Source organism: Homo sapiens, chromosome 5 (genome assembly GCF_000001405.40).
Source record: "Homo sapiens chromosome 5, GRCh38.p14 Primary Assembly".
NCBI classification, from domain to species: domain Eukaryota; kingdom Metazoa; phylum Chordata; class Mammalia; order Primates; family Hominidae; genus Homo; species Homo sapiens.
Window position 1 is genome coordinate 167691873 of NC_000005.10, and position 25159 is coordinate 167717031.

General features: G+C 39.3%; 1 protein-coding gene across 13 annotated transcripts in view, besides 2 other annotated features; it reads left to right on the plus strand.

Moving 5' to 3' along the window:
* TENM2 (teneurin transmembrane protein 2) overlaps nt 1-25159 on the plus strand; it is a 1285129-nt gene that overhangs the window by 712844 nt on the left and 547126 nt on the right. The gene's annotated exons all lie outside the window — the stretch shown is intronic.
* Nucleotides 6305-7011: an enhancer, noted in NCBI's record as "H3K27ac hESC enhancer chr5:167125182-167125888 (GRCh37/hg19 assembly coordinates)". NCBI's record gives its function as "activates a minimal SCP1, AML or CMV promoter by ChIP-STARR-seq in primed H9 embryonic stem cells {active_cell/tissue: H9 hESC(primed)}" and the evidence as "EXISTENCE:reporter gene assay evidence [ECO:0000049][PMID:30033119]".
* Nucleotides 7717-8422: an enhancer, noted in NCBI's record as "OCT4-NANOG-H3K27ac hESC enhancer chr5:167126594-167127299 (GRCh37/hg19 assembly coordinates)". NCBI's record gives its function as "activates a minimal SCP1, AML or CMV promoter by ChIP-STARR-seq in primed H9 embryonic stem cells {active_cell/tissue: H9 hESC(primed)}" and the evidence as "EXISTENCE:reporter gene assay evidence [ECO:0000049][PMID:30033119]".

The window sequence follows — 25159 nt, forward strand, 5'->3', positions numbered from 1 at the left end:
TTTTGCAGAGGGTAAGTGATACACAAAAAACTATCTTAAGTAGTTTGGACCTGAGATCTGAAGTTGCCCGTGTGGTTAAAGTCTCACCTATTTTTTAGCACCATTTGCGGGAGAGGAGTACCTCCTTCTTGACCCTCTGCCTTGCTACCAAACCCTCTGCCTTCCTGAATAATTGCTTGATAGCCTTCTCTTTCTTCCTGCCCTCTTTGCCACCCCGGAATACCACTACCTGAAATGATCTCATTTCTGCCTATGTCTACTTGCTTAGTGCTGGTCTCCCCTCACTATAATGTAAAGTTCATAGGACAGACCTTATCTGCCCTGTTCACAAGTTGTTCTCAGGGTCTAGAACAGTGCTGGCAAATAGTATTAGGTCAATAATTATTAAAAAGGTCAAATGAATTGGCCGAAGGCAATTGCCCCCATTCACTCTAACTTAGTAAATTAGTTCCTAATTCTGGCTGTGCACTACTGTCACCTGAGGCTTTATTGGAAACACAGTTTCCAGATCATCACCCCTGGACAGTCTGATTCCATTTGTTTGGGGTGAACCTGAGGAATCTGTATTTTTAATTAACATCTCAGGCATTTTGGACACAGCCAGTGCCTGGACTGATAGGTGGGAATTACTCCCACAGGAAATGTTACTGAAAACAGAACTTTATTATCAGCATCACCTAAACCACATTTCTTATGTTACAGACTATAAATTAAATATATATGCATGACTTTAAAAATATATACCTCCAAGCCACTTCCAGTTTGTGTATGTGCTTCTGGCAGAAGCAATTGTATTTATTCATACCCTGTATCCAATAAGGTAGGGAGACCCAGCTGTTCAAGCAGGTGCCTCCTTCCCAAGAAAAAGATAGATCGATTAGATTAACAATTAAGTGGTGAACTGTTGAGAGGTTGCCCAAATGGCCTTTGGGCTTTCTTCTAGAATGGCATCAATGCACAGTAGAATTGTGGCAGATGGACGATAGTGTTGCATATGCACTCATGCTGGGAATGAGGCCATTTTGAGCTCCTCCACTGGTCCCTCAAAGGGCTGCCTGGTCGGCTTGATGGCTTGAGTTGGCAGTAGGGAGTAACAACTGAGAGCCCGAGCTTTAGAGACAAACAGCCCTGGGTCTGAATCACAGAATGGCCACTGATTAAAGGGCATTTTACATAGCCTTTGCGAGAGCCTCGTATGTTTCATCTGTAATTAGGAATGCTGTTCTCTAATTCATTGGTTTGTGCTGAGCTATTAGTAGAGTGTGGCTGGCATTCTGTATATACGATGCTCAATAAATGCAAATATCATAACCTCTGGGAAGACTGACTTATACCATTCCACTGCCGCAATTGCCGTACCAAATCTCCAAAGACTAAGAAATCTGCCCCTATTGGTCAATAGAGGGGCTAGGCAAAAGTGTTTGGTTGGTCATGGAAAATTGAGGATAATGGAACTTTAATATGTTAAAAAAATTCCTTCTCCAAATTTCATTTGACACTTGCTATATGAATAGTTAGGATTTAATGAATACCTTTTTATAGAGTTACATAATTTTCCTGTAAGATGCATTGGGTTTCCAGAAGAATGTTGAACTTGATTCAATTTTAGCTTGATTCGGGCTATTCAAAATTTATTTCCTGAGGAATAGTCTCATTGGATAAACTTAGGAGTTGTTACTGGAAGACTGGGTAACTGTCATAATGCCAAACATCGGTGCTCCTCTCCCTCACTGTTACCTAAATTTTAAGAAATTTCTAGGCAAAAAAAAAAAAAAAAACCACTTGATTAAGGCAGAGGTTATTAAGTATGGGCAAGAGTGAAGGGCCTGGAGTTGATAGTGGAAAAAATATAGCTTAGGGAATTTCATACCCAGAAGCAAAACCAATATGTACATAGATCTTAATGCTGTGTTTCACTTACAGTTCAGAGTCCACTGCCTTGCCTAGCATGTTCAAGATGTTGTAGTGCCACCATCACTGTATATGAAGGCTAATTACTTGGAATATTCCTTACTGGGTATAAGTGTTCCCCAAAGATTTAGCTTAAGGATGGAACTCAAGAGCCCAGCACAATCATTCCTTTTAACTATTTAAAATATATTTTGGATGCACAACAGACTAATTGATTGAATGCACTTTTCACAATTCCACTTATCTAAGATTTTTAGAAAGGCACCAGAAATCTCAAGTTGAGATTTTAGTATTATCAGAAATGTACAAAAATCATCAGCCTCCTAAATCGACATCTTGCTTGAGTTCCTCTATTCACTCTACCTCCTCTGCACTTATCCAGCTCAATTTCTCATCCCAAGTGAGCCCATTTAACATCTTGTGGCTATCAACTTACAAGGTAAGACAGTAAGAGAGGGCTGGTTCTCAATTATGGCCTTATGTTGGAAGCACCTGGGGATCTCTACAAAACTGGGATCCTGATTGAATTGGTCAGGGTGTGGCCTGGAACTCAGGCTGTTAAGAGCTTCCCAGGTGATTCTCATCCACAGCCCAGGTTCTGAACCAATATTTAAAATAGCAGAGCATCCCTTAAAATAGCAGAGCATCCCTTTCCCCAGGACTAGAGGTGACTCAGCTGTATTTTCTGTGCCTGTGTTTGACGAATTAGTTGCAAATTATATTCCTGCTTTTACATAGTAATTAAAACAGTCATGTTTTCATGGGAGGTTCCTTCATGCTGAGCCTATCCACTCTGTCATTTCTTTGCTTCCTTAGTATGTTGTCTTTTAAATGAGCTTAGTGGAAAAAGTCTGGTTGGTGCATTCTGAGCCTGCTAATCATTTCTTTCCTTTCCCATCCTTTTGAGAATCGGGCCCCAGCTCTTAATCTCTTGGTGTGCATGAATAGTTCTCATTAGTTGTGGTAAGTGCGTTAAGTGAAACTAACTATAGAAGCTCACTGAAACTGGACCGTGTAATCACATTGTTCATCAGAAGGGATTTTAATGTTTACATGCAGAAAAAAAAATTGTCATCACAAGTAGATAAATAGCCCATTATTTTACACTTGAGTTGGTACAGCAGGAGCAAACAGCCACCAAACTACTTCTGTTGACATTCCAGTTGAGCTGCACATAAGAGACATGTGGATGTATCCTGTATATTCTCAGACAACATTCATCTACTCTTGCTTCTGATGTCATTTCCCAATGGGGTAAATATGTCTCTGAAGCTTTATTCCTCCTTTGTGGGAATCGGATCCCCAGTTTTTAGCCATGCTTATTCACAGAGCAGAATTTTCCAGAGTATGGGAGCTACACATACCATAGGCACAGCACCTGCAGTGGCATTAAATAAGTTGGGTCACATAATGAGGGGTAGGCAAACTTTATCTGTAAAGGACCAGATAGTAAGTATCTTAGGCTTTGCAGGCCATGAGGTCTCTGTTGCTACTACTCAGTTCAGCCATTTTAGCACTAAAGCAGCTGTAGGTAAAACGTAAGGAATGGGTGTGGCACCAAAAAAACTTTTATGCACACTGAAATTGGAATTTCATATAATTTTACATGTGAAATGTTATTCTTCTTTTGATATTTTTAGCCATTAAAAAAATATAAAACTCCTTCTTAACTCTAGTTTGTATAAAAACAATCCTTGGGCCAGTTTGCAGACTCCTGCCATTGGAGGAGTCTCAGTGGGATGCTAGACTTTAATGCCTCTCTAAAACATATGAATTTTACATTTTAACAGAGGGAAAGGGTTCAGGTTTGTCTCTGAATCAGACAAAAATAGTTAGCTGGAAATAAAGCATATTGTGTTGAACTTTTTACATTTTATTTTAAACATTTTATTTTACCCTCTATCTGTGGCTACTAAGTGAATTTCTACTTAGAATGGTGATTTAAAAAAAAAAAAAACAAAACAGAATTGGCTGGGTGCGGTGGCTCACGCCTGTAATCCCAGCACTTTGGGAGGCCGAGGTGGGCGGATCACGAGGTCAGGAGATCGAGACCATCCTGGCTAACATGATGAAACCCCGTCTCTGCTAAAAATACAAAAAATTAGCCAGGTGTTGTGGCGGACACCTGTAGTCCCAGCTACTGGGGAGGCTGAGGCAGGAGAATGATGTGAACCTGGGAGGTGGAGCTTGCAGTGAGCCGAGATTGCACCACTGCACTCCAGCCTGGGCGACAGAGCAAGACTCCGTCAAAAAAAAACAAAAAAACAAAAAAAAAACAACAACAACAATTGATTTACAAACAAAAATATTAAGTAAAGAAGAGGCCAGGTGATACATGGCTATGATGAAAATCATGAGGTGATATTTATGATATTTGAAGGGTTGGTATTTGGGAATCTGCTGTCCAGGTTTGATTACCTGTGAGTGTTTTTTCCTTGGGAGGAATATCTGTAGTTCTGAAAAAAGTAGCTTATTATTTTTTCACTACAACTTATGATATTATAAAAATTTAAAAAGAGCCCCTGATGAAACATACACATTTCCTCTGATACTTTCATCAAAGCCAGCCAAGGTATAAAAACCAAGGTAAAGTAAGGTTAAAACTTGTGATGAGTCCTGAAATGCATAGAACAATAGTAGTTCCATTGTCTCCCTTCACAGTCTGTGGATTTCATGTAGTTCTCTGCCACACTTTTTATCTCAACACTTCACATGTTTTTACTGAAGGATCAGGAGCTCACTTATTTATCGTTCTCTAAAATGGTGAGCCTCCCTTTTCTTTGTATGAAAATACTCAATATATGTTTAAACAAATCAACAGAAATAGGAAAAACAGATGGTGAAAGGATTATGAGGCATTCTTTGAAAAGAGAGTGTGCTGTATTTTCTACACGGGAATGACCAGTTGCTCTTTGATCTCAAATGTCTCCGTTAGCGCGAAGGCCCTGCTTGCACTCAAAACCACACTTTGTCGGAGAGACTCGTGCTACAGCCTCCTGAGGATCTCCCAGCTGCTCCTCTTGCACCTCCCTGGAACCATTCCTTACTTCCCACCTCCTCCTCTTCCATTCTCACCCAGCAGCCAGTAAGACCTTAAAAAGTGAATCAACCAGTTAACAGTCTTGCTTAAAAACCTCAAGAAGCTCATCACCTAACTTGGGAAAACAAGCGTCTACACTCTCTATCTGAGGCCGTCAACCAGGCCCTGCACAGTTTAGCCCTGCCATTCCATGGCCTCTGCGCATGCTTCCTCTTCCTTCCAGCCCTTACCCTCCTCCAGTTTCTCACACTTGCCTGGTTCTTGCCTGTCTTTAGATGCCAATAGCACCACAGTCATCCCTGTTGTGACAACCAAAAATGCCTCTGGATGGTGCTGAATGACCTCTCAAGGGTAAAACCCCTGTCTGCCTGAGAAAGGCTGCTCCATCTGGAACACTGTCCCCCATGACACCCGCTCCTTGTTTGAAGCTCAGCAGGCACTTCCCTTCCATAGAAGGCCCTCCTTGGCTCCCACTTTTAGAAATAGTTCCTCCGATTTGAACCTTTCATTCTATATTTCACTTTTCCTTATAAGGACTTATTTCGAATTGTAATCACGTATGCATCCTGTGTTCATTAGTTTAATATCTGTTGACTAGATTATAAGCTCCCTGAAGCCATGCTAATTTGTTCACTGCTTTATTTTCAGCATTTATCACAGTGCCTGGCACATTGCAGTGGATTAATCCATATATTTTGAATGAAAGAGTTATCAATTTTTTTTTGAGATATAGTTTAGCTCTTGTTGCCTGGAGTGCAGTGGCACCATCTCGGCTCACTGCAACCTCTGCCCCCAGGTTCAAGCGATTCTCCTGCCTCAGCCTCCCTACTAGCTGGGATTACAGGCACCCGCCACCATGTCCAGCTAATTTTTGTATTTTTAGTAGAGACAGGGTTTCACCATGTTGGGCAGGCTGGTCTCGAACTCCTGACCTCAGGTGATCTGCCCGCCTCAACTTCCCAAAGTGCTTGGATTACAGGTGTGAGCCACTGCACCCAGCCAAGAGTTATCAATTTTAAGTCAAATTTATATTTCATAATCTTGTGGACCTACTATTCTATCACCATCCCTAGCTGTTATGCTTAGGTTATTTAACAAAGAAAAATAAGTCATCGGGAACTTGAAATATAATCGCCTGACAAGGTATCCCTCTAAGTGATTAAATTTCTGTTTTATTAGGGTTCAAACAAGTGCTCGGTATTTGCCTTTATTTTCCAAGAAAATAAATCTATCTCCAAATGCCACAGAGAGAAATTTATCTTTTCCTTTACTCATTGTATGCACTGATCTTGTGTTCAGATCTGATTACCCTTAACAGGCAGCCTCTATGTGCAGTAACTTGAGCTCTTTTCCTTAGTTTCTCCTTTACCAGTAACTCCCTGGTTGTTTTTACCTTCGTAACTACCTTTCCGGTCAAAGTACTGCATCTCTTTCTGTAAGATGATGGCTTCAGATCACCTTCTCATTTTTCTCACGTTTATTTTCAAATGTGTCTCCACACAAGCCCAGCCTGTCATAGACCATGTTTTACTGTTCTGAGTGACTTGACATTCCCTGACCAGACCATGCTGTCTGTCTCTCCATCAGGCTCCACACTGTTCCCTGTGCTAGAACACTGTCATCCATAATGGTCTCCTAAAAACAGCCCCTTAATCCCCAAGATTAACTGGATGTCTCCCCGACCCACCTACCCAGGTCCTGGTCTCCTGGGTGGCCACTGCACAGATATACTGTACTGCAGTTGCCTGTTTATTTGGTTTTCCCTTCCATTGCTTGAAAATGCATAGTGGGAAGAACAGAGAATGGCTTCCATAAATAGTTTTTCTGTGTGTGTGTGTGTTTTGTTTTGTTTTTTGTTTTTTTTTTTTTTTTTTTTTTGAGACATAATCTCGCTCTTTTGCCCCGGCTAGAGTGCAGTGGTGCGATCTCTGCTCACTGCCAGCTCCTCCTCCCGGATTCACGCCTTTCTCCTGCCTCAGCCTCCTGAGTAGCTGGGACTACAGGTGCCCGCCACCACGCCCAGCTAATTTTTGTATTTTTAGTAGAGGCGGGATTTCACCGTGTTAGCCAGGATGGTCTTGATCTCCTGACCTTGTGATCTGCCTGCCTCGGCCTCCCTGATTGCTGGGATTACAGGCGTGAGCCACCCTGCCCGGCCCCATAAGTACTTTTAAAAGAAATAATGAAGTTCCTTTTAAAGTGTAAACCCCTTAGAACTGAGAATTAATTCTACAGTTAGCTAGTTATAAAAGTCTAGAGAAAATGGAACATAAGACAGCCATATCTTTTGGCTTTGATTAGTAAAAAGAAATATATATGACTGTCACAGAAGATAGTCCTAAATGTGTAAGATGCTTCACAAAACAGAGATAAAGAGTATGTCCTGTCCTTAAAATTAAAATTTGGAAGGATTAATAGTGGCTCAACACACTAGAATGCTGCGTTAAGTAGTATGTGAAGTCTCATCCAAGCCCAATAAAATGAATAATTTGATCCATCAGCAAAGTGTGCTATGAATATCAAGCAGGGAAGGCCAGAGGTTTAGTGTCTAAAACTAAAGGGGTAAGTAAAGATGTAAAAGGAACACCCAAACGAAATCTCGGCTTATTTTACCTTATTTTTAAGTCAGAGAATTGTGTACTTGAAAAGACCTCTTTCCACATCCCCAAGTCTTACTTTACAGATGAATCACCTTACTTTCAGCTGAAGCAGCTAAGGTTCTCAGAATAAGTATGCTGAGCATGTCTCTGCTGTAGCCAGATAGAACTAGAACAATGCCCTGCCCTGCTGATTATCTTTGTAAGAATTCTGAACCCTGCTGAGTTTATGGGGCAACATTCCTATGGCCTGACTTGCAGCTTAAGTGGCTTCTGAATCGAACATCCCTCCTCCAGTGGTTGAGAGACACAGACTGGCACTTAGTAACAATGCAGCAATGATATATTTAGTATCAACCATGAGCCAGGCTTTTGCTGAACAGTTTACTATGCAGTAGGTTCCCCACAAGCCCCAACAATCCTATGTAGTAGAAAGTATTAGTTTCCCTAATATGCAAATGAGAAACCTGAGGCTTTAAAGATGAACTGACTTGGAAAAATCACATAGCTAGAAATGGAGAGAGCTGGACTTTGACCCAATCAGTCTGGCTCTGAATTCACTTCTGTAAATGCAATAATATATTGGGGTTCAGGGAAAATTTTTACATAGCACTTTTGAGGACATCTTGAGTTCTTCAGACCTCTTCACAGACATGCCATATCATAGAAACAGAAAAAAATTTGCAAAGACACTTAGTGTCTCTGAAAAGATAGAACAGGCTTAAAGAGTACCTGACTCAAAAAATTTACAAAATCCCACTGCTCCCTTGATAGAGAGATCAGATGGAACATGAAATAAAGTACTTCCTTTAAAGTCCTTTAAGAATTTAAATGTGAAGATAGAGGTCATACATGATATACATTAAGATGAAAGTAATTAAGAGCTAGCATTCTCTGGGGACCTGCTAAGTACTAGGGGTTGGGCCAAGTGTTTTACAAACATTATCACTCGAATCCCCACAACCCTTGGGCAGGGGCCTGCATGTTCAGGTTGTACACTGCAGAACTCCAAGGGGCACCATTCATTTAGACTAACATGCATGGTAGCTTTAGGTGGTGCAGTGGCCTGACCTATGAGATTGTTAAACGTTTAATGGTTAGTTCAGACTTCACATAGCCAGGAAGGGACTGAGCTGGGATTGGAACCCAGAACACTTTACTCACAGAGTCCTTGCTTCTCACTGCTCTTGGTACACCTATGCCCCTGTAAACATCCTCTCTCAGGGTAGAGAATCAGGCTAATTTAATCAGCATGGCCATGCTTTTCTGGGTTATATGAAATTATTCTCTGTAAGAATCTCAAAGCCAGCAGTTAATGATTTGGTACCATTATCAGTTGATTGTGGATATCACAATTCGGTCCATCTTGAAGTGGTATGTTTTGATAAACTGATTCCATTTAAATGTGTATCGATTCTATGTTCAGTACCATTATCCTTCCTTTTAGTATAACGTGCACTGAAAAAATAAAATTGCGTTCAGAAATAATACTTAGTTCAGCCCCAGTACACACAGTTGTTATATTTCTTAAAAAAAAAAAAAAAAAAAAAAAAGCTAGCAAGTTTTTGGGGAACTCCAGGGAAAACAATATGTGAATTAATTTTCGTTTCAAAAGAACAGCAGGAATTATTCAGGTAAAAATATTTATGTTAATATGCTACAACTGCCACATTTCATCTGTGTGACCACTAGTGCTTTCTAAACAGCTGCTAGAAAAATGTACACAAGAAATGTGTGAGGTCTATGGAAAATGTAATTTTTGTATTCTAGCTATTACATTTTTTCCCAGTCATTACATCTCCCCCAACTCTTGCAGGATGTGGGTTTTTTGCATAAGTTGCAAATTCACAGTTAAATGAGGCACCTTTTGGACTTGGCTAAATATGTATGAACATGAAGTTATGAATCTATGAACTGGTTTGAAAGGTAGAACCATGTGATGTTGGCATTATCGTCATGTTGGGTTTTGGGTGTTTGTTTTTTTTTTTTACATCAGTTTAAAATTACTTTGCATGAAATTAGCATAGAGTAGCAATTACTCATTCTTACTCTGTATACCTTCTCACGTTCCAGTGAGAAGAAGAAAACAACATAGGTTCGTGACATGTAATATTTGAGACCATTGACTTTGCTTCTCACTAACTGCATGTGATAATTTGGGCAGGTCACTGAAGCTCTGGTTCTGTGTCTTACTTGAAAAATAGGAAGGATAATAAGCCCTCACCTCATAGATTGTTCTAAGGGTTCATTAAATAGATACATACATACAATGTTTGGCAAAGTGCCTGATTCCTAGTTAGTGGAACTCTAAATTGTAGTTGTTATTACTGTATTGTATTATTCTCTGGTCTGCATTGGGAAAGGATCTGCCTGCATTGCTGTATAAGTATTTTGTTATTTTAATGATAGTTTCTAACTTTTCAGGTGACCTTTCCTTATTGATATTTATGTTCATGTTGTGATAAACTGGAACTATACTAAAAGTAAATATGTCTCTTTAAATGTTATTTTCTATCAGTTCCTTCTAGAGAATATTTGTTTTGGCAAGTAGAGGTATATCCTGCTTTAATCAACCCATCAGGCTTATTCAATTCAAGGAATTTTCAACCATTTTGAAGATTGCAAAAGCTATTGAGAACTATAAAATGTGTTCCCTGCCTTTGAAAAGATCTGGAAAAGGATTATTGACATCTTTTTATACAGAAGAGGAAACACTCTGAAACGCCAAAGAAAGGTTTACATCAAATATAATAACTGATGACATGCTGATTTAAGCATTTAATGAGCAAATCCTATTAACTCTGCCCACCCATTCATTCAGTTACACAAATGAAATAACATCTGAACTTCCATGCATGGGTGACCAAATCCCATACACAAGGTAATGAAGGATAGAGCTGCTTGGGTTTTACTATCATGTCTTTCCATGGGAAAGTTCTGCCTTTCACGTGTGTCTAGGTGCTCTCTTTATTAGCTGAATTCATCTCTGTCTTGCCAACACACTTGCTTATACACTGATGCTATGATTTGGGTCTTGTGTGTCTCTATGGGGCCAGATTACTCATAGAATTTCACTTTGTTTTAATAAAGAAAGGGCTAATTTATATATGTATGTATGTATGTGTGTGTGTGTATATATATATATATATATACATATATATATATATTTCTTTACATAGTAAAAGTTTTCCCAAGAACTGCTGTGTTTTTTTGTTTTTTTGTTTGTTTTGTTTGTTTTTATTGTTTGTTTTGTTTGAGATGCAGCCTCCCTCTGTTACAAGACTCTCAGGCTGGAGTGCAATGGTACAATCTCGACTCACTGCAACCTCCGCCTCCTGGGCTCAAGCGATTCTCCTGCCTCAGCCTCCCAAGTAGCTGGGATTACAGGCATGCGCCACCATGCCCAGGTAATTTTTGTATTTTTAGTAGAGACGGTGTTTCACCATGTTGGCCAGGCTGGTCTCAAACTCCTGACCCCATGATTCGCCCGCCTCAACCTCCCAAAGTGCTGGGATTACAGGCGTAAGCCACCACGCCCAGCCACTTTTTTATTTTCTTCAAAAGTCCTTGCTTACACACACAACCTCTCTCCCTCTGTCTCCCTCTTGCTCTATTTCTGTCTTGTTCTTGATTTCTCTCTTTCACATATGCACAGGCAGAGGCACTCATACCTACATTCATATAGACCTTTTAGTCTTTCTTCTCATGGTATTATTCCATATGCCACAATTGCCTCGGCTACAACTAGTCCAGAAATTTCCAATCCATAGCCATATATGCTAAATGACACCTATAGTAAGTGGTATACAGCCTTAAAAAGACTACATTAAGCCAGACATAGTGGCTCACACCTGTAATCCGAGAACTTTGGGAGGTGGAGGTGGGTGGATCACCTGAGGTCAGGAGTTCAAGACCAGCCTGGCCAACATGGTGAAACCCTGTCTCTACTAAAACTACAAAAATTAGCCGAGCATGGTGGCACACCACCGTAATCCCAGCTACTCGGAAGGCTGATGTGGGAGAACTGCTTGAACCCAGGAGGCGGAGGTTGCAGTGAGCCAAGATCGCACCAATGTACTCCAACCTGGGTGACAAGAGTGAAACCATCTCAAAAAAAAAAAAAAAAAGGCTACATTAACTCCTGATTTAAGCAGCAAATGAATTGGGTGTGAGTCTTACTTGTTAAACAAAGAAGACTCTCCGTAGGATTACTTTATATCATTTAGAAAAAGACAGTTTTTATTTTTTTCTGGAAATGTACGGTAGAACCCAAGAAGTAGTATACTAAATTAGTACTAGTCTTCAAAAATGTATAGTCTCATTGATGTACTGATTTCAGAAAAACTACGTCAGCAACTTAGGTCTTTTCGTGTGATGTAGCAATTAGTTTTCTGCTAGGCTGATAGAAGAAAGTAAAAAGAGGCAAGGATTTGTTCCTCAAATTATTGTGCTTAGGTGTTTTGTTGTGCTTCAAAAGTTTGTGTTTGGTTTTTGTGGTTATTTAACCCCTCTTTCCAGCCCCCTTTCTTAACCTGAAGAAGAGGTGGAAGGAATAGAGAGGAACAAGGAAGGAATCAAGCTTTTGTCTTAATAAGAGAAGAAATTCTTTGAGGGTGCAAAATTATTTCTAGGTAGTTCTGAACTTGGTTTCCTCAGAGAACTGTGTGGTGGAAATTGGCCGTGGTACAAGCCTATGTTGGATTACCTTGCTTAAAGCTTTTAATCACTCATTTGAGTTCCACCTTGGTATGGGATATTGAGAGGTAGCTGGAGGGAGGATGCATCTTCTCCACTTACCTTCATGAGGCCACCCAATCAGTCTTTTCACACTCTGGGTCCCTGTCTGAACAGAGGACTTTTATTTGTCAATACAGATAATTCCTCTGGGTGTAATCTTAGCCTATACTTTAATTTCAACTTTAAGAATTTTGTTTTTCTGAGAGCTACAACCATGGCACATCTTATCCAACAGGAGCCATTCCTACTCATTCATTTAATACAAACGCGTAAGACCAAAATCAGTGTGTTAGGTGAAGTCATTCCTTGTGAGGAAAAGTAAATGCCTCTGATAAAATAATGTTTCACCCTCCTGCATCATCATAATTAAGAAGATAAAATGTATTCAAACAGAAGACTTAAATACCAATATTAGGTGGCATGGGATTGAGTACAGAAATAGCAATGAAGGAAGAGGGCAGTACAGGCCAGAAAAAATCAAGGAAAAAGAAGGCTTTGAATAAGAACTGCACAGAGTGACTTTGAGTTGCAGTAACCTTATGTGGGTTAACTGGTTTTGCGTTTTTTGGCTGTGTTGATGGAGTTGAAAGAATCAGCCCTTTTTACTTGAGTACTTTAAATTTTTGTGCATTATCTTTAGGCTATGGTTCTTGATGTTGAAAGAAATATGATGTCTTCGAGGCTTTTCTCTAGGATGCCAAAGAGTGGCACCTTGGGTATAGGAAAAGAGCATGTGTTAGGTCTGCTGGAGTGTGTGTAATAGAGGTAGATGGAGCTGGAGTGTATTGATTCTTTATTTCTTGTCAGTCCTTGGCATGCATTATTGACAGTGGAGATTGAATACTTTGAAGTTGGTAAAAGTCACCATCAAGAAACTGTGTTGCTTTGAGTTTGCAGGAATAACTGAGGAGAGAAAGACAAACCCCTTGCTGTGCTCTGCCTACCCCTGGGCTTTTTGTGCACTGGATTATGAAAAGTGATAGAAGACTGGAACTTTTTATGGTAAATATCTAAAGGGAAAACTTTGTCCCTATAGTAACCCTTTTAGCAAATATGGTTGTCATGTTCCTGCTGCATATGACTGGGACTGTGCTGAGCTCAAACGAGGTGATCAGTTATTATCAACATATAACCAGCTAATGGATGAGCAAATATTTAAGGAAACAAAATAATTATCAAGATCTTGACTTCTTATATTCTTGGAAAGGTAGAGTAATTGATAGAAACCTGAGTGTGCCTGCACCACCCACACACCCTGCCCAGCTTGGTTGATCTGGATGGAACTTTAGAAGACGTTCTTTATGATTAACCTGTGGCTGTATTATTGGACTCCTCCTTACCAATTGTCTACCTTTGCTATCTATTTCTGAATATAGAGGTAAAAGAGGGTGTACAGTAAAGCTTTGTTATTTATTGGCTGTGGTGGGGAGGGGAAATAAGGATTATCATAACACTCAATTAGAGTTACATCCTGTTCAGGGCAGTTCTCCAAGTGCTCCCTCTGCTCCAAACTTAGTGATAATTTAGGCTTATAAAGCAAAGAGACATTATTAAAAATACATCAAGTTTCATCATTGACACTTCCTACCCTTTGACAAATACTTCCCTGTTTCCCCTACTCCCCAGCCCCTGCAGTTTCCCATTCCTACTCTCTGCTTCTAGGAGTTTGACTATTTTAGATTTACCATATAGGTGGTATCATGTAGCAGTTGTCCTTTATATCTGGCTTATTTCAGTTAGCATGATATTCTCCAGGTTTATCCATGCTGTTGCAAATGGCAGGAGTTCCTTCTTTTTCAAGGCTGGGTTATATATATATATATATATATATATATTTATTTATTTATTTATTTACTTATTTATATTATATATTATATATATTTATATTATACAATATATATTTATGCCAATAGATATACAGTGTGTGTATATATATAATTATACCAGTATATATGTATAATTATACCAGTATATATACCAGTATATAGATGGTGTGTATATATAGTTATACTATATATTATGCATAGTATAATCATATACTATATAATTATATAGTATGTAAAAATATATTATATTATTATATAGTATACTATATATTATTTATGCTGTGATATATATTATGATAAGTATATATTATATATGTATCACAGTATATATAAGAAAATATATATTAGAAAATGTGATACAGTATATATAAGAAAATGTGATACAGTATATATAAGAAAATGTGATACTATATATATATATATAAGAAAATGTGACACTGTACATATATATAAGAAAATGTGATACTGTGTGTAGATATATCTATATCTATATCTATATATCCATTCATCTGTCGTGGACATTTAAGTTGCCTCCATGTCTTAAACTATTGTAAATAATGCTGCAGTGAACATGGGAGCACAAATATCTCTTTAAGAGCTGGTTTTCAATTCCTTTGAATATTTACCCAGAGGTGGGATTGCTGAATCATATGGTAATTCTGTTTTTAATTTTTTGAGGAGTATCTATACTGTTTTCCATAATGGCTGAACCAATTTATATTCCCATCAATAGTGTTAAAGGGTTGCCCGGCCGGGCGCGGTGGCTCACGCCTGTAATCCCAGCACTTTGGGAGGCCGAGGCGGGTGGATCACGAGGTCAGGAGATCAAGACCATCCTGGCTAACATGGTGAAAGCCCCGTCTCTACTAAAAATACGAAAAATTGGCCGGGCATGGTGGCAGGCGCCTGTAGTCCCAGCTACTTGGGAGGCTGAGGCAGGAGAATGGCGTGAACCCGGGAGGCGGAGCTTGCAGTGAGCCGAGATCGCGCCACTGCACTCCATCCTGGGCGACAGAGTGAGACTCCGCCTAAAAAAAAAAAAAAAAAAAAAAAAAGGGTTGCCCTTTCTCCACATCCTCCTCAAAACTTGTTTTCTTCTGTTTTCTTCATAGTAGCCATCCTAACACATGGTAGGTGATATCTCAGTGTGGTTTTGATTTGTATTTCCATGATGATTAATGATGCTGGGCACCTTGTCATATACCAGTTTTCCATTTGTATGTCTTCTTTGGAGAAATATCTATTCAGTTCCTTTGTTCATTTTTAAATCAGGTTGTTATGGTTTTTGCTTGTTTTGCTGTTGAGTAATAGGAGTTCCTTATGTATTTTGGATATTAACCCTTTATCAGATATATGGTTTGCTAATATTTTCTTCCATTCCAAAGATAGCCTTCTTGTTTTCTTGTTTTCTTTGCTGCACAGAAGCTTTTTAGTCTGATATAATTTGACTTATCTATTTTTGCTTCTGTTGCCTGTGCTTTATTGTCATATACATGGAAACCATTTCCAATGTGTTTGTGGCATGGATCATAGTAATGGTTTCATGGGTGTATACTCATCTCCAAGCTCACCAAGTTGTATATATTAAAGTTGTGCAGCTTTTTGGATGTCAGTTATACCTCAATAAAGTGGTTTTGAAAATGCACCAACAAAAACAGCATGAATTGTACATAGTATAATTCTAGAAATCTTAGAACCCACTGCCTGAATGCCGTCTAGAATCCTAGCAAGTCTACCTTCTGTATTTCATTAGGCTGTGGTCTCAGATCCCGAACCAGACTGAAGACACATAGAAACATCTGAACATCTGAAATCTGTACTGTCTCTTCAGTGGATTCTAAGCTGCCTCAGCTTTAATAAAGGTCTTTAAGTAACTCTACTTAGTAGAGACTCTCCATCACTTAGAAGAATGGTGGCCAGAGGCATGTCAAAGTCAGAATATTAGGTATGGTTTACCAAGGTGAAAAGGAACGGTGTGGTGCTCGGAGTTTTCTGGTCCAAGCATTTGTTGGGTCAATGAATAAGAGCAGGGCTTACCTCTTGCCTTGCTATGTTTAAATTCATTGATATTGAGAGACAGTCCAGGGTTGGATAGACAAATCGATCTTATCTGAAATTCTGATTCCTATTGATTGGTAGAAGCTGCCTAAGATGTTGAGTTAAGAAGATTATAATGTCATGACATCTGGACTCAGTACAAAGAAGAGTTATCACAACTGAAGAGTGTATGCTACGGGGAAGAAAGTGATGGAGAGAGAGAGAGAGAGAGAGAGTTAGATGATAGGCTATATTATATATACATACCTTTTAGATACAAATATACTGTATTATCAAAATCATATATGCACTTTTAATATTGAGAGTGTCACTGTTAGGGTGAAACTGCACCATATAGATGGCAGATACTGTCTACTTGCCCACCAAATTATTCCCTTTCTTCTCAGGCAAACAAGGCAACTGGACTACAATTTCATCCTCTCTTGAAGCTAGACAGGGCCATATTCCTGAGTTCTAGCCAATGAGATATGTAGAAATGGCATTCCTCACTTGCAGACATGGAAAATAAATCTTTCCACATGTGAGTCCCAGTTCTATTTCTCCATTCACTGGCAGAAGGGATGGAGAGGACTTGGGTAGAGGACCGAGGAGAGGGCAGCCACAAGGAGGAGCCTGAGTCCCTGAATGACTGTTTGGATTTGAGGCCTCCCCGCCAGCCTCTCCCCCTCTGCCTGCCAACCTGCATTGTCATACAGTGAAAAAGAACTATGCTTTTACCGTACAGTGCCACAGAATTGGAGTTGTTTGCTCTAACTGACTAATACTATATATGTTAAAGTTTTTTTTATAAAAACATAAAGCACAATGGGAGTATATAAGAGATTGTAATTATAAGGTAGCAAAAACACCATTTCTCTTTCTATACAAACCTATATTGTTATGTGTGCTAAGAAGTCTCCCCAAAGCATTCTTTCCCTTTTATGAAATGGGCGAGTCTAGCACTTCCCTCCCCTCTGCATATATCACACAGATGCCTCAAACTGTCTATCCAATACAGTCCTACCTCATAATGACTGTCAGCATCTAAATCCAAGTATAGTCACAGAAACTATGCCAGAGCTCTGGAGGAAGTCTCAGTGGTGGGCAGACAGGGGACACTTCTCCCCCACCGCCCCATCTGCAGCTGCGTGCATCCTCCACTGCATCAGTTTCCTGCTTTGTAGTCCTGTCTTTTCCAAGCTGAGTTCACTGCGTGGTCTTCTCTTATCCCCGGGTTATTTGATCTTTTACTCTAATTTTCTCACCAGCACTTTTCTATTTAGTTTTTATAGAATTTATTTCTCCTTCCCTACATGTAATTTTTTGTATCTATCTTATTTGAATTTCATTTCATGTAATCCCTCCAGTGCATCCAGGCCATTTTGGATTCTAAACGTGTTGTCTCTTCCCTGACAGCTGGGTATTCAGTGTAGAGTACAAATATATACTTAGCTCTAATGTCCACAACACTTATAACAGTAAAACTAGAGTGAAAGTCAGAAGAAGAGATGGTGGCGGTCCAGAAGCCCAGTCCAACTGGTCTTTGCTCTTGCAACAGGGCAGCAGGAGTGAATGGAGAACTGACATTTAGGACAGGTTCTCTGTCTCTTTCTCAGGACAGCTTTGTCTCTGTATATCGTACTCAATCTCCCCTCTCTTCAGACCCACATTCCTTGACCACACGAAAGAACATGGCTGTTGACACCCCAAAGTTTTACACCTTGTCTCTTCAAGAAAATGGCTCTTTTAGGAGTGGTTCAAAAAATGAGAGAGAAACCAAAAGCGAGAGTGAGAGTGAGAGAGTGTGGGAGGAAAGGCAAGAATGAGAGAGAGAAAGAGAGAGAGGGGGAGAGAGGAAGACTCTTTTTGGTTTAACTTGATCAACCATCTACATTTGGTCTAAAAAATTCTAGAAAAGAGAGCAGAGTTTTGGAGTAAAAATGAGGCTGTTGGGATCTCGAACTTCTGGATAAGTTGAGGGGAATCATTATAAATCAGGCACCACCCCCAAAAGATCTACTGGTGATGGTAGTAGAGAAATTAAAAGGTAGATAAACAAAGGAAGAAAAAGAAGTAATGATTTAACTTCCTTTGAACATAAAATTTACCAGTAACAATCACTCTTTGAGAAGAAGCATGTTGTTAACATATTCTGTTGGGTTCTGTTTGACTCTGTGGTGGTATGTGTGTGTATACATATGTACACACACATACAGGTATACACATGCATACACACACACATATTCAGTGAATACATACTATTTGACATGAATTACACCAGGTACTAAAGTAGCCCTTATTTTTAAGTGACTTTCGATTTCATGGGGGAAAAAAACAACAACACACAAACAGAGAAGTCACATTCTTATATCTGCTGGGCAGAGGAGCCCTGGGAGCACTTAAGTAACCTAGGAAAGGAGAATGACAGAAAGTCTTCCCAGAGGAACAAGTGCCTGAGCTGACTGTGAAAGGCTGAACAGGAAGGAGCCAGATGAACGACAAGAGAGCAGAACATTCAAGACAGAAGGGATAATGTGAATGAAGGTGTGACAATGAGAAATAGTATGGTGTCTTCTGGAAAGGGTCAGCCCAGACTTGCCATGACATAAATTAGGAAGTAAAACTAGGAAAGCAGTAGGGAAAGATGAAAGGGCAGATTTCAAAGAGCCTTTTTGGGCAGGTTAATAAATCCAGACATTAACCTGAGGGCATTGGGAAACCACTGAAAGGTTTTAAGCAAAGGAATGACACAGTCAAGCTTGTATCTACTACAGATCACTGTGGTATGACAGAAATGCACAAAACGGGTTTAAGATGAAGACAAGCTGGGAGACAGGGAGACTAGTTGAGTAGTTACTGCGGTAATCTAGGGCAAAGATGATGGAGAGCTAACTAAAGCAGAAATAGTAACAATACAGCTATCTATTATTCATGAATTCAACAAGTAGTCATTAACATGTCTTCTGTGTCCTACACTGTGCTAAGCATTTTACATGAATCATCTTACTGAATCCCCAGAGGCCTATGAAGCCAGGTACTGGAATTGTTGGTGAGAAAAATGGGGCTCAGAGGGCTGAATTACCTGGCCAAAGGTTCAAAACTAACAAGGAACAAAGGCAGTATTCAAATCCAAGTCTGACAACAAACTTTAGTAATCAACCACCAATCCAATAATAATAGCTATAAGCAGGAAGGAATACAGGTTAAAAATACATAGATGAAATTAGCCAGGCTAGGTGATTGACTAACTTCCGGGAATATGGGAGAAGAAGGCACCAAGGATAATTCTCATATATCGAGTATGGGTGTCTGGGATAGTAAGTGCAGAAAAACTGTTTTAAATGTTTGACATTCATTCCAATTCACTGCACCACCAGGAAAGTCAGTCATCTGGCAACATCGCTAGCCCACTGGCCCTTCCACATTCTGCAGCTAGTCAATCTTCCCATCCTTTTCGGCCTGGACCCCTGGGCCAATATTTCCAGCAATCTGCTTTACAGTGACTTCAGTCTCTTTGTCCCCTGGCCTTTCACAATGCCCACCTTGCCAATCACATCCCTTACATCAAACCCACTGTTTATCTGTGCCAGCTTCTGGGCAGCCATTCAGTGATATCTGTAAAATTCAGCCAGGTACTGGTGCTTTTGCTCAATCATCTCTTTTCCTTCTTCTCCCATCAGTCCCCCTTCCTGTTTTGCACTGCGCTCATCTCCTTAGACCCAACCAGCCACCTGTTCTTTGCAGTGTGCCTTTGAATACCAAGGTCATGCAAGTTGAGGTCTCTCTACATGTTTCTCTATCTTTACCCATTTTTCTCTCTTCACTCTTCTTTCAGAGTAACACTCTTATTTCAGAGTAACTTATTTCAGAGTAACTTGCCACCAACTGAACCTTGATCTATCAATTGTGTGCAAATTATTTTTAATACATTGCTTAAAATTTACTCATGGTACAAATTCAAACTTATTTTTAATCCTTATCATATCTATGAAAAATACTGTCTTTGTTAGCAGAGCATTCATCATCCTAAAATAAACTATGAGAAGGGCTAGACTTTCCTCATCTTTATCTCAGGACAGGATGAAGTAGGTTAAGCTCCAATCAACTCGATCTTAATTAGCCCCCAAATGATGCTTTACTTCCATTTCTAAAGCCTTAGTTAGTGAATTACTGGATAAAAAATAAGTTTAATAAGTAAAGAAAGGCAAAAGTCATGAATATCTCTACAAATGAGGTATTTTAGTGTATATTCCATTAACAAGTTTTAAGATGTCATCAATTGTAAGATATTTTTTAAATAAGAGGATTTGGGGGAAAATTAAAAGTACAAATGTCAATTTAAACCAGATTTCAGAAATATGAATATGAAAATGTGAGAAAAACAAACTGGATCTTATAATTAAGACAACACAGCAAGTTTTCCCCCTAGAATTATGTTTCTGTCTGTCTAGTATGTAGCTGTCTAACTTGGTCATTTTACAAAATTCCTATTCATGCCACAATCCCCTTTGTTAAAAAGTTTTGCTTCATTTTTTGTTTTATAGGGAAGAACTATCTGAGACACCTGGTAACCATTTCTTTCTTAGTTTAGAAATTGGTTTTGTGGTACTATTACTCAATAATCCTATTCAGAAATATAAGCATAGCTTCAGTAAAGGTTGAAATATCAAAAGGAAAGAAAAGCCTATAACTGAGGGAGCTTTTTTGAATATGGAATAAAACATGAATCTAGACATTAGAAAATTGGAACATATTTTTCCATGTTCTACCCCAGTAGAAGTTTAGAGAAGAAAAGAGTTAACTTGCTCTAAAATGCAGTATATTTCTTTCGGCAAACACCCATATGTGTTAGTGTGTGCATGTTTTTCTTATTAGGTGAAAAAATCATGCTAGGTCTGGATTTTAGCATCTTCTTGCTAGAAGCAACTGATTGTACCTATCAAGCCCAAGACAGAGCCCAGACAAAAGTATTTTCCTGCCTGGTGGGCTCACAGTTTGTGCAGCTTTATGTATGTATGAACATCCATTCATATATGTGTATACATATGTGCGTGTGTATAGTGTGTATACACATGTATATTTTTAATGACATTTTGGAAAGGATACAATAGTGTTTGTATTTTGCAGTGAGTGCGCCAGTTCATAATCTATGTTTATTAGAATGAACTAAATTCCTTGAGCCTCTGCCATTTTTCCTACCCCCTACGAAGATTCTGTTTTCCCCTCTTCTAAAATATAACACTGGAGAGAAGTGCCAAATCAACAGCCCAGAAATCGGGAAGCTCCTTTTTTAATTCCCATCCTGTAGTACTCCCCTTGGATTTCTGTGCCAAAGCTGGCTGAGAGCGCTCTCACTTCAGCTTCCTATTTAACTTGGCTGGTACTATCTTCCTGGTGAATCATTTCACGAATTTGGGCATGGGTACTGATCTCATACATCAAACACACAAGTACATACATACAATGCACACACACAAACTCAGGAACACCTCCATGAATGCTGACCACATGCACTTGCATATGCAAGCATCAGGCATGCGCACACCCCCACCACCACATTCATGTGCATATGCAGACATGCACATACATGTGCACCTCCATGCTCACATACATGCGCACATGCAAGCACAGGCATACATGCATACATGTGTTTATACACATATGCACACAATTTGGTGAGCACACATGCACGTACATGCATATGCATATTCATGTACAACACACACTTATACTCGTGCGTACGTGCACACACATACACACGTAGACCTGATGCCCTTTTTCTCTTTAGCACCTAAAATTTTTCCTCTGCTCCCATTTTCTCATTTCCCTTTTCCCCTTCAGCATTCCCAATATTGACATGCTTGAGGTTATTATATAGTTCATCATTGTTCAGAATATGCTATCTCTACTCACAAGGTCTGGATTTATCTTTCCACAAGACCATTGAACAGTCCTGTGTGCCAGCTATGGAAGTTTTCATAACCTGCCTGAATAGAAGAAACATCAAATCACTGAAGCTTAACCCTAAAGAAGTGAGGGTCACCTCAGCCTTGCCTTCTGACTCAGGCTGTTCATGTTGTAATAAGTGAGGGACATGGAATTGAGCACTTCACAAAGCCTTCTTTATAGCCAGGAGTGTGATCACAAGTAGGGATTTCCATGTATTTCCTGACACATTTCCCTCTTACTTTGTTGTGAAGGGATCTTGATTTTCATGTTCTAGCACTTCCCCCATGGTGCGGTTTTCTTTGCACTAGACTGAAGAAAGAGAGTTTTAAGTTGCTTCTTCTGCAAGGGCAAGAAGTCGCATGGATTGGGGAGTGGGTTTACCCTTCCCTATAGATCTTATCTCTGCTCTTTCTTCTGTTGTTTCGTGCATTGAGAATGGCATTGTTGGGTCTGATGTCTGCTAAGTCTCTAGAAAATACTGGAAACAAGAGCAAGGGGAAGGTGGCATCTCTTAGCTGAATTACCCAAGTCCATTGAATCCTGCCTTCTTGTTTTGCATGCACCTGGGCTTCCCAAGCCTCTGAGCTCAGGATTTTCCAACCTGCTAGCGTATGGCCCAACAAACCAATGGCATGGAAGCCCTTGAACAATAAACAAATAATAGGAATTGGCTTTTCTAAGAAAATCAGACAAATAAAAGAAACAAATTTACTGAAAGGATTTATTAGCCAGACTTAAGAAATGTCGACCAGCACCAATCCTATGAGGTTCTTAGGATATTTTCCCTGTCTTTTGCTTATCACTCCAACCCAGACCCTGTGCCAAAACTCATTACCACTGGGGCTATCTCGACAGCCCCACACTGTAGCATTTCTCCCCAGGATTGGTGGGGCCTGGAAACGCATCATAGGTGAGGAAATGGCTTCCAAATGTTAGCTTAGAAGGGCTGAACTACTGATGTAGATAATTAATTGAAAACCTTCTACCCATTTCTTTTTTTCTTTTTAGGTTCTTTAAATGGAATACTCTCTCTTTCTTGTTGATAGAACTTAAGAGTATCTACTTTATACTGATTTTAGTGTGAGGCTCAAAGGATGCCAAGAAACACAGGACATAGCTTCTGACCTCAAAAATCTCTTGGTCTTGGAAGGAAGAGGCAGATAAATTAGTATTATGGCTTATCTGGAGTACATAATCAATGGACAATGATTGGGAAGGCTCAAGCAAAGATCCCAAGAGGGAAGCTGTGTTGACATGATAGGCCAGAGGAGATAGATTTTAAATTATGTGTTAGGAGAAAGAGTACAGTTAGTTACAATAATCTAAAATTCAAGCAGGGGAGAAAATATCTACAAAAAAATAGTGAACACCTGGTTTCTTTGAGGATTTCTTAAGAAGTCTTCAGCTGGAGGCAGGTGGCATGGGCTACGGTAGAGGCCCAGATGAAGGGGCTATAGAGGCCATGACAACCCGTTAATCCAAAATGAGCCATTGAAGGGTTTAAAGCACTGGAATTAAAATATCATTTTCAATTGTTTTAACCCCTGGGATGTTTTGATTTTATGGTTATGAACAAAGATATGTTCAACAGAATTCTACCAAGGTTGATAAATTATTATTGAGACAGGATTTCCTAGGGACAATAAGACTAAGCCAATTTAATTGCTCAATCGGTTTCATATACCTTTCCATATAGTGTCATTTATGCAGAGTAAATGATAAGGTCACATTTTCTTTAGAGTCAAAATGACAGATGAAAAAGTTCACGTAGCAGAGTGGTGGGTTCAAAACTTGCCTCTTTGGATTCTCATTTTATATAGAACATGCAAGCTTCTGAATACGAAATATATTCCCACTGCATTCTACTATTTTTCAGTTTGAGGATTCAGCTATTTTAGAAGTTTCCGTTATTAGGGATTAAACAAATTATATTTTTTTAAGCGACTGAACATGTTTTAAATAGGATTTTTATGAAGAGGAAAAGTAGAAGTCCAGCAATTAGGCACACTTTATTTGCTGCCATCGCTCTGAAAGTGGTGGAGTTTGGAGTGAAGGTATAATCCTTGCAGCCATTGCACAGACCCACAGGCGTCTGCCAGTGTGTGCCAGGAGCCCGAGGCTCTTCAAGGCCATGGAGGAGCATGGCCCCCCATTCAGCCCACATTAACTCTGGAGTGCAGAAAAGTGACGAGGTCCTTTGTAGTGGAAACAGTAACTCCTGTCACGAAGGCTTGAAAACAAGTCACTTGGGTGTTGATGATGACTGGAAAACTGTATTTTGAAGGATCCCAAGGTATCTCTTTAACATTCATGCCTTCTCCCACAATCTGCTAGTCTGCCGACTTCAGCTTTCATCTCCTGGAATACCACCCAGTTCTCGCTGTTGCATCGTATCTGTGAAATGTGCATCATTCCCCTGCCTTTCATCTGAGAGTTTATACCAAGATTCAAGTTTTCATCGGCAGTGGGTTCATGTCAGTTAGAATTAATGGCAGTTTCACTCATTGGCTTTTATTGTTAATATTTACATACCTTCCAGATTGTGGCTTTTGGGTAGGGAGGCCAATGGAATGCAAAATGAGCCAAAGTCAAGAAGCACAGAGCTTTGCTCCTTTCCTTGAAAAAAAAGTTGCATTTTATTTGTTTTTAATAAATAAAATGAGCTTTACAGCTTCCAGTAAAATAGCCAAAAATAAAATAGAAGACTGTTTTATGCAAGTCTTAGGAATCCAAATGAATACTAAGCAGTGGTATTTGGGAGCTGGGTAAAAACTTTCTGACACAAGCATTACTATGCCTATAATACAGAAATCCGAAGGGAAAAAAAATCAGTTTCAAGTCTTTTTTATAACTTTATTTTCAAGTGACTAAAATTTACATAAAGCCATCTTTACTCAACTTTGGGTCTTTTTTTATATTTTATTTTATTTTATTTTATTTTATTTTATTTTATTTTATTTTATTTTATTTTATTCTATTCTATTCTATTTTATTTTATTTTATTTTTGAGACAGTCTTGCTCTGTTGCCTAGACTGCTGGAGTGGAGTGCAGTGGTGCAATC